This window comes from Homo sapiens, chromosome 13, assembly GCF_000001405.40.
Source record: "Homo sapiens chromosome 13, GRCh38.p14 Primary Assembly".
NCBI classification, from domain to species: domain Eukaryota; kingdom Metazoa; phylum Chordata; class Mammalia; order Primates; family Hominidae; genus Homo; species Homo sapiens.
This window is the reverse complement of record NC_000013.11, coordinates 32,066,849-32,077,953: the sequence shown is the minus strand read 5'-3', so window position 1 is coordinate 32,077,953 and position 11,105 is coordinate 32,066,849. Positions and strand designations below refer to the sequence as shown.

Here is an 11,105-nt window from a genome sequence, read left to right as displayed (position 1 = left end):
CAATGAAAGAAACGTAAGAGCAAGTGGGCTTGGGATAGAGGCATTGGGAATGCTGAGAACAGGAAGCGTATAGTTAAACATAAGTATTTAGCTTTGGGTAACTGGATATGGAGATTAAGGGAAAGAGTCAAGTAAAAAGTGGGTTTGCAGTTTGGACACTGGATGCGACATCAAGAGAATGGTGGTGTCATCAATATTAAAGGCAAAACAAAGTTCTTTCTCCATGAAAGTTGGATACTCTTTTCATAACTACAAATAAATGTAAGGCTTCTCTTGCCTTCTTTCTGTCTCAAGCCAAGTTCTGAGGAAGCAATATAACGTTTTGTTTATTTTATTAAATTACAAACATGTCCCCATTGTTACACAGACGACTCTCCCTCACATTTCCTACCCTTCCTTTGTAATTCATTTAACCTGACATAACAGTTGAGGAGCCCCTTATATCTGAACGGTCTTTCCAGATCTCAGCTACCACTAAACTGTAAGACTATGGCCTCGCAATTCCAAAAATATAATAAAGTGTCTTGCATATTATCTCGTTTCCTTTCCATTCCCCCTGGCCGCATCCTATCCAAGCCCTTGGAGACCTATGGCTAGATTATTTTAATAACTTCTTTGCGGACATTATTTCATCTGTTTTCCATATCAGACTAATCTTTCTTTTGCATGGCTTTAATCATAACACTTTTCTGCTCAAAACTTTCAATAGCTCTCAATTACCATCATCCAGCCTCAGCACCCTGGCTTGGTTTTGAGGGCCTTTAGTAGTTTGCCTCCACACCCTCACCCAAGTCCTGCTGATGCCCTCATTGGCCTGTGAGCACACTGGCTTCACTTATTCTTCCTTCTTTCTTTTCTGCAGCTCCTTTCCATTCTTTTCTGCCCATCTCTTCCTCCTCTTCTTTCAGAGCCACTTCTAGTCTCATCTCCGTAACACCTACCTCCACTAGGCCAGTCCTCACTGATCAGTTTGCTTTACAAGAGTTGAACATTTAACCCAAACTGTTTGGTGTTTTGCTTTGTCGTGTATATCCTACATTACCTATGAAAGGCTCAATAGACTGCTGCTAAGTAAAGTAATTATTGATTGGAGACAAGGTTTTTGTCTAGGGTCGGCCCTGTAATTAAACCATATACTCTTCTAGCTATATCTCCTAAAAGTTCCCTAATAAGACTGTAGACTCCCAGATGTCATACAAAGTTCTTTGCACAGATAATACTCAATAAATCTCCTTAAATAACTAACTGAAAATGTCCCCTGACTTTATTTCTGCAGGTCTTAAAGGGATTCCTGGGAATAGGAACTACATAAGGAGATGCAATATGTCAGAGTCTTTTAAGAAAGGATGCAGTAGTTGTGATAGAAGAGTCATTAATTAAATGGTACCGCAAGCAGTTCACTAAAAGGCACTATTTATTCCAAAGGGGCATATTGAAAATCAAGTGATGAAAATGAGGTCCTGGCCACTCCTCTGCTTCACCTCCTACTTCCCCAGTGCAGGCACCTTGTGGAAGTAGGACACCTCCCCAACACCAGCTTAGAGAAGGACATAATGTCTCAAGATATCTTCCTCAGGTATCAAAGGCATCATGCCACAGAACCAGAGACTGGGATATAAACCTAAAATGTCTATTTGGAGTATGACTTTTTATTATCTTTGGGTTTCCACAGGATTTGATCCATTTCTAGATGACAGCAATAATTGGGTTGATATAATATATACAGTTATTGCAAGACAAGATCCATAATTGCATGACTCTGGGGCCTAAAAGTCTTAACTACAGTGAAAACATTTTCATGAGAGTGACCTCTGACAGTCCTCCTACAAGGCTGCATTTTGAACTAGAGAGATGAAATTCAGATACCAGAAAACCTCTCAGACAAATCCTCCATTTAAACAGCTGAAGAGCCAATTCACTGCTATCATAAAAAATATTATTCACCTGAACTTCAAAGCCAGACATCTTTGTGAATACAAATGTGATATTGAAAAAGATAAAACTATATGAACAGCCTTACTGAGCTGGAACTATCCTAGCCCAGCAGAGCCCTGTACCACAGCAGAAAATGATTCAAGGTGGGGTGTCACTCATCATTCTGAGTTTCAAACACAGATCAGCGTAGGCATCTGGAGATGCATGAAAGTTAATGGGGTAAGTGTACTTGAACTAGGTCCACTTCCAAGTTTCAGTAACCCTCTTCATCCTACCCTAATTAATTCATGGCAAATCCTAGCCTCAGGATAATTTCAAAAGTAAACATTAGGACATGGCACCTTTCAATACTTGAGTTATTTGGTGACAATATAGTGCAGACCAGGAAACTCATGTTCCCCGGTAGTCAAATTTGAGTCACAAAGTCCACACTAGTGTAAATATTAGAGCATTATCATTAGAAAGAAAATCATCAGACCCTCTCACAGCATTTGCTTGCCCTTAATCTATACATAAGATAATTTGTCTAGTTTCTAAATTCACAGTAGTCTGGAAACAGAAAATTACAAGGGAGGGGTGTAACTTCTATGGGTAGAAATGCTAGTAGCAAAAGAAGAAACAAAATTGCATAATTTAGAAAGCTGCCAGAACTTAAAAATGCAGTTGGCTGAATATGACAGTCTCACAGGCTTGAGGGCTTTGACTGCTGTCACAATTTATGTTCATTATGATGACCTTAAGTCTCACAGAAAGGTAAAAAAGGTGGGAAAAAGACTAATATAAATTTCCAAAGGTTTCCATTTCAAAAAGATAAAACTAAAAAAACTTTTGGTGTATAAAAGGGAAAAATTTGCTGCCTCTAAGAATTTAGCTCTCAAGAATTAAATCTATTCCTTCATAGGTCTGATTTTTAACTGAAATTTATTTTTGATTGAAAAAACAAAATAAAACATGGATTCAGTACTAGCCACACTGAGGCACCATTTTCCAGGTTTGCAAATGCAATGACTGAATCAACTTCTCTCTACCTGGGGTGCTTTCCTTGCTTTTTACCCAGTCCTGCAAGCAAATCCTCCTACCTTTCAGGGTCCAGGTCAGTATGGTCTCCTCCACCTGGCTTGGTCTGGGCCCTGCCTGCCAGTGCCATCCAGCTGCCCCAAGGGTCAGCCTTCTCTTCATGCCAGGTCTCTGGAAATAGGGATCTCTCCCAATGAAAGGATCCTGACAGAATCTTTATCACATCTTCCCCATCCAAATACTTGTTGAAGAAACAATTGTTCCTGTTGCTTAATTTGTTGTATTAAAAACCCCCATTAAAATTTTTTGCATATAATGACTTTTTTAAAATCTGTTTTTATTTATTTTTAATTGTGGTAAAGTAGACAAAATTTACCATCTTAGTCTTTTTCAAGTGTATGGTTCAGTGGCATCCATGTGATGAATTTTTTAGCTCCAACTCCATCTGCCTTTATTCTCCTTTCCTTCGTCCTTTCTATCGTCATATAACAGCTCAATGTCTCTAAAAAGTCATTCAAACCAGTGCTCCTGTGGTGGGGGCTGGTGTGGAGTGGAGGAGAAGAGCATTACTTTTATATATTAATTAGGTTTCTAATTATTGAATCCGTTTGAAATTTGTCTTCTCTTTATATTTTCTCATTTACATTTTAATCTTGGTTTTAACACGTTCTAATTTTTTTCTCCATTGCCTTCTTTTGTCTTAAATGAGTTTTGTTAATGTTCTTTTGTTATTTTTATTCCAAATTCTGTTCCTAATTGATTTTGTTGGATGACTTCAGGAAGTGTTTTCCCGTGTTCACTGGGTCTCTATCTTTTATATTAAGCAGGGCCCATTCCTTAAATTATGAGAAGTCTATTTTATACTTTTAGGGCCCATTCATTTTCCGTTTATTAAATCTATTTCGGACTGCATATCTATTCAGACTGATGATCTTTTTGAACATGACTGACTATTTTTCCCCCAACTTCACTGACTTATAGCTTAATTTTTAGGCTGGTTGCTCTTAGCTGGTTTAAATCTTCAGTACAATTTCCCTAAGTTACCAACATTTCCAGGACAGACTACCCTCCTAACTGTAGCACCAATATAAACACCTCCACAGCTCATAGTTCAGCTACATTTTTATTATAACACTGAAATGAAATGAGCGTCCTCATATAAGAGCCCTAGAGGCTAATGGTGGCGTAGATGTTACAGGAAAGCAACTGGTTTTCTCAATCAGATTTTCAGAGAAGTAATACCATCTTTCATTAGAAGCTATTGTTCACTGACTTACTCATTCATTTCAACCAATACTTATTTAATGAGTGACTAGGCTTCAGGCACTGTTCCAGGCACTGGGAAGATACTGGTGAACAAAGTGATAGTTCCTACTCTAATGGAGCTTATGTTGTACTGAGGTGGGGTAACATAACCAGCATTTCATGTGCATACACACACACACACACACACACACCCGCCCACATACACACAAATACCACACTGTCAGACTACAATAAATTCTAAAAGAACAAGGAAAAATTAAACAGAGTAAGTGGCTAGAGGGACCTGCTCTTCTCTATCTGCCTACAGGCATTCAGGTGCTACAGTCTGGGGCTGCCGCAGGAAGGAATGAACACTGTGTGTATTCTTGGTGTCTAAGAAAATCCAGGCACACATGGCTCGGGCAGAATCTGTTTTCCTGATCCATGCATTTGGCCTGCCCCATATCTGTGTGCCAATTCCGGTGGAGATGAGAATTTTAACCAGCCTGTGAAGGGCATGAACTAAAATGCCCAATGATCACACTGCTTTCCCATCTTCCTGTACAAAGTACTCCATTCCTCAGGAAGCAGAGATGTTTGGCCTGCTTTTTCACCAACTTGCAAAGACAGACAAGCACAGAGCTAATTTTTCAACACTCATTGCTTTTACTGCTGCTCCCATTACTGGAATTTTACCCAGAGTATTTGAAATAAAAAATGGCTTCCTTTTTCTTTTAAGTGCTCCTGGGATTATATGTGGTAACCAAATATTCAAAGTAGAACTCATCATAGAAAGGTGATCTGATTAAACAACTTAACTTTATAGAGATCAATGTAATCTTATCGTTCAACAAAGGAGTAAATTATGAGATTTCTTTGTTCATGGTTGTACATAAATTATTCTTTCTGCCAGTTCTCAATACTTCATTCATTTTTCAGGTTCTGAAGGCAAACCCTGTTAGTAAACAAGAGCTGGGATCTTTCTTTAGAATCACACTTTCCCTCTCAAATGCCTTTTCTCCTAAGACTTAATTTGTTTACCAGCAGTACAGGAACATTTCATAAAACATAAAGGGTGATGCAGCTTCTTTGCGAACATGTCACTCTGTGTATAGAGCAATAACAAATTGTCCATTAAAGCAAGTATGAGGGAACTTAAGAAATGGCATGTAAAAAGGTACTGCAAATACTCAAATGGCCAGAAACCCTGAAAGTCATGTAAAGTAAATTGGGATAAAAAGAAAAAGAAACAACCAAACAAGACAGAAAGAATTATTTTCTTCTGAAGAATATTAAGAAATCAAAAATGTTGGGACAAAAAAAATCAATAGTTTCAGCAACACAAAAAGATTGCTTAACGAAGTGATAGATGATTCTTAAATAATTACTTATTTTAAAGTGGGCCAAGAAAAGAATATCATGTAAAAAAAAATACCGAAAAACAATTTTTGCATTGGAAGAAAAGTATAACCAAAGGCAAGCTTAATTAATTTCTGATTAATTTCCATAAAATTCTGATAATGTGAAATATTCCTCCCATTTTTATGGATTATATACATTCCTCCTTTCACTTACACTTTAATTCTCCTACAGTTCTCACATTGTGTTCCTTCAAGTTTCAGAATCTACATGATATCTCCAGACGAATTAGTATCTTTAATTCTTAAAATAATCCTAGAAGGCTAATCTCCCTTTTACAGATAAGACCATGCAGATTCAGAGAGGTTAAGGGGCTTGTCCCAGGTTACAGAGTGGTCAACTCAGGATCTGACCCATGAATGTGATGACGTTATCTTTTGAGCTTCCCATATCGCCCTGTCTTTTATTTTTTAAATATATTTTTGTGTTTTTAAAAAATAATTTTTATTTTATTTTGTTAACAGAAGATCTACTCTCTTACCAAATTTTTAAGTGTATAATATATTATTGTTAGGCTATACATACAATTGTATAGCAGATCACTAGAGCTTATTCATTTTGCTTAACTAAAACTTTATATCCACTGATTAGCAACTCCCAATTTCCCTGTCCCCCTGCCCCAGGCAACCACCATTCTACGTTTGGATTCCATGAATCTACCCATTTTAGATACTGCATATACGTGGAATCATGCTTGTATATTTAGAAAACCCCATCATCTCAGCCCAAAATCTCCTTAAGATGATAAGCAACTTCAGCAAAGTCTCAGGATACAAAATCAGTGTGCAAAAATCACAAGCATTCCTATATACCAATAACATACAAACAGAGAGCCAAATCATGAGTGAACTCCCAGTCACAATTGCTACAAAGAGAATAAAATACCTAGGAATCCAACTTACAAGGGATGTGAAGGACCTCTTCAAGGAGAACTACAAATCACTGCTCAATGAAATAAAAGAGGACACAAACAAATGGAAGAACATTCAATGCACATGGATAGGAAGAATCAATATCCATGAAAATGGCCATACTGCACAAGGTAATTTATAGATTCAATGCCATCCCCATCAAGCTACCAATGAGTTTCCTCACAGAATTGGAAAAAACTACTTTAAAGTTCATATGAAACCAAAAAAGAGTCTGCATAGCCGAGACAATCCTAAGCAAAAAGAACAAAGCTGGAGGCATCATGTTACCTAACTTCAAACTATATTACAAGGCTACAGTAACCAAAACAGCATGGTACTGGTACCAAAATAGATATATAGACAAATGGAACAGAACAGAGGCCTCAGAAATAACAACACACATCTACAACCATCTGATCTTTGACAAACCTGACAAAAACAAGAAATGGGGAAAGGATTCCCTATTTAATAAATGGTGCTGGGAAAACTGGCTAGCCATATGTAGAAAGCTGAAACTGGATCCCTTCCTTACACCTTACACAAAAATTAATTCCAGACGGATTAAAGACTTAAATGTTAGACCTAAAACCATAAAAACCCTAGAAGAAAACCTAGGCAATACCATTCAGGACATAGGCATGGGCAAAGACTTCATGACTAAAACACCAAAAGTAATGGCAACAAAAGCCAAAATAGACAAATGGGATCTAATTAAACTAAAGAGTTTCTGCACAGCAAAAGAAACTATCAGAGTAAACAGGCAACCTACAGAATAGGACAAAATTTTTGCAATCTACCCATCTGACAAAGGGCTAATATCCAGAATCTACAAAGAACTTAAACAAACTTACAAGAAAAAAAAAAAAAACCCATCAAAAAATGGGCAAAGGATATGAACAGACACGTCTCAAAAGAAGACATTTATGTGGCCAACAGACGTGAAAAAATGCTCATCATCACTGGTTATCAGAGAAATGCAAATCAAAACCATAATGAGATACCATCTCATGCCAGTTAGAATGGCAATCATTAAAAAGTCAGGAAACAACAGATGCTGGAGAGGATGTGGAGAAATAGGAACGCTTTTACATTGTTGGTGGGAGTGTAAATTAGTTCAACCATTTGGAAGAAAGACTGTGTGGCGATTCCTCAAGGATCTAGAACTAGAAATACCATTTGACCCAGCAATACCATGACTGGGTATAGACCCAAAGGATTATAAATCATGCTACTATAAGGACACATGCACATGTATGTTTACTGCAGCACTATTCACAATAGCAAAGACTTGGAACCAACCCAAATGTCCATCAATGATAGACTGGATTAAGAAAATGTGGCACATATACACCATGGAATACTATGCAGCCACAAAAAAGGATGAGTTCATGTCCTTTGCAGGGACATGGATGACGGTGGAAACCATCATTCTAAGCAAACTATCACAAGGACAGAAAACCAAACACTGCATGTTCTCACTCATAGGTGGGAACTGAACAATGAGAACACACGGACACAGGGCAGGGAACATCACACACCGGGGCCTCTTGGGGGGTGGGGGTCTGGGGGAGGGATAGCATTAGGAGAAATACCTAATGTAAATGATGAGTTGATGGGTGCAGCAAACCAACATGGCGCATGTATACCTATGTAACAAACCTGCACGTTGTGCACATGTACCCTAGAACTTAAAGTATAATAAAAAAAATTAGTGGAATCATGCAATATTTGTCCTTGTGTGACTGGTTTACTTCACTTAGCATAATGTCTTCAAAGTTCATCTGTGTTGTTGCATATGGCAGGATTTCCTTCCTTGTTAAGGCTGAATAATATTCCATTGTATGTATATACCACAGTTTCTGTATCCATTCCTCATTCGCTGGTATAGTGGTATCACACCATTCCCAGACTGTCTTTTAAAACAAATCAGCTGCCTATGTTGAAGACTGTCCCCTTACCCATAGGTTTTGCTCTGGTGTAAGCTAGTTTTGGGACTTCAGGGTATGACAAAATACAACATAAACGTTGTAATTTGGAGAATGGGGTTTCCTATGATTAGAATAGTTGTATACTTTCCGGAAAGACTAATATATCCTTAGGCCATGAAGGTCTCTCCCTCTGTGTTCTCTGCCCTCGTGAATGAAAATGCACTTTTTAGCCGTTAGAGGGACTTTGGGAAAGGCTAGGAGTACGAAAAAGAATTGAACATATGGGCCAGGCGTGGTGGCTCATGCCTGTAATCCCAGCACTTTGGGAGGTCGAGACGGGTGGATCACGAGGTCAGGAGATCGAGACCATCCTGGCTAACACAGTGAAACCCCGTCTCTACTAAAAATACAAAAATTAGCCCGGTGTGGTGGCGGGTGCTTCTAGTCCCAGCTACTTGGGAGGCTGAGGCAGGAGAATGGGCGTGAACCCGGCAGGCGGAGCTTGCAGTGAGCCGAGAACAGGCCACTGCGCTCCAGCCTGGGCGACAGAGCGAGACTCAGTCTCAAAAAAAAAAAAAAAAAAAAAAGAATTGAACATGGAGGATCCATAAAAATATATGAGATCTGATTAATGACACACATACCTTAGAAAGACCTAAAGACTATTCTTTCCTAGATACATTGATGATATAAATTTTAACTGCCTGTTATCCTAACAAAGAGCAAGTCTACTTGAAGGCACAGTTCTTTGCTTACTTCAGTCTATGTTCTCTCAAAACCATTTTTGTCTCTGGTCTCCCCAGACTGAATACCTTGGAGAGAGTGAAGCAGTTCAATAAAGAGAAAGTTAGCAACAAGTGTCTGCCCTGTTTTCTTTTCTGTCTTCCTCTGCCTTCCAGTATTTTATCTGAGAGATATGACAGTAACACTTCAGTGATTTCCTTTATAAATGTCTGTCATCTGCTAAGATGCGATTACATGGACGTTCCCCTGATTTTCAAAGTAGGTACTGTCATCAGAGCCTGAAAGAATGTCTGCCAAGATCCGTGCGCAAAGGAAGATGAGGTTACATTGACATTTCAAGGTCCTTTCTCACCAAAAGGAGATCGAATAACCTGCTAGAGGCAGGATAATCCTGAATTTCAACTTCCTTTTTCTCCCTAAGAGAAGTGACCAACTGCTCTCATTCAGGTGTCCTTTGCTGGCTCTTCTCCCTTTTTTCATTTTCTTCTCTTTTCTAATTTCTTCTTCTGCTTGCTCATTTTATGCCGCAAAATATCATTAATGTGAACTCTACAAATTCAAAATGTGTAGATTATTTGGACAAGACCTTGAATTTTTAAATCTTAACTTCAAAAAAACATCTGCTGACTTACAATTTGAATTACTGGTGCTCAGTCTTTAGCACATCACAGTCACCTGAAAGGTTGGACACCTCTTACCCCAATTCAGTGTCAGAGTCTGGGGTGAGACTGGAGAGTCTGCATTTCTAACCAGTCCCCAGGTGATGCTGGTGCTGCTGCCCTGGGACCACACACTGACACCACTGATGGAAATAAATAGGAAGGAAAAGGAGGGCAATTTAATCAGTTAATAAAATTGTTTCTAATCTTATCTGCCTATAGAAAAACTGATATGCTTCATTAACTCCAACAAAATTAACATTTTGTAGGTAAAATATAGTGGAAAGAACACTGAACTCAGAGTCCAAGGTCTAAGCTCTAATGTGGCTCTCAGGTGACCTTGGGGAAGGAACTTGGACCAACTGGGCTTCAGCGTCCTTACCTGTTATTCTTAAAGAGGCTAGGTTAGATTGTCCTTTCAACCTCTACTATTCTATGAAATATAAAAGTATGCCCTGAAAATGTATGAAAACATCATTTGTTCAAAATCTCTGCAGTTCAAACACTTAACAATTAACACTTGCCTTCCCTTAAATTATATGAATTAGGGAGATTCTATCATCTATCCTCTCTACAGAGTAAAGCTTGACAAATAATCCTGACCTTTCCAGTTGTATCTTCACTTCTCTGGTTTCATTAAATTTTAAGCCTGGAAACTCCCTAAACTGCAGGCAGACAGTGGGGAAGCCTGTCTTTATTCCTACCTGTAAACTCAAGACTTTTGTTAACATTAAGAAAAAAAAACGAACTGAAAGTCTGACTTGTGTCTAACCTAACCCCGCATTAGGCCTAGTCTCTGTTCTGGGCCACGCAGTAGGTGGACACTGGGGAATAGGTGGCATTTGACCCAGGTCTTAAAGGATAGGTAGGATTCTGATACGTAGGGAAGAGAAAGGGGCAACTCGGGCAAATGGAATGGCATGGCAGGTACAGAGAGGCATCTGCCAAGTGTCTCTTCTTACCCCCTCCTCCTGTCACCCTCCTACCACACATCCTTGGTCTTAGTATATCTGTTCAAATTTGTCTTCACCAAGGAACTGCAGAGTCCTCAAAAACAAGACTATCTCTTGTCTTTATCACCAGCACTTAGCACCGTGCATGGCACAATTAAGTAAATAACTGTGCTCACTTAATATTTGTGGACCTGAACCCAACCAATTCTATAATACAGTATTTGCTAGATGAAATAAAGAAGAGCATATATGAAAAACTTAATAAACTCTTAAGTCCTGTAAAAATGTAGGTTT

At 38.6% G+C, this 11,105-nt stretch overlaps 1 protein-coding gene across 5 annotated transcripts in view; it reads right to left on the bottom strand.

The window, feature by feature from the left end:
- FRY (FRY microtubule binding protein) overlaps positions 1-11,105 on the bottom strand; it is a 267,352-nt gene that overhangs the window by 221,172 nt on the left and 35,075 nt on the right. The gene's annotated exons all lie outside the window — the stretch shown is intronic.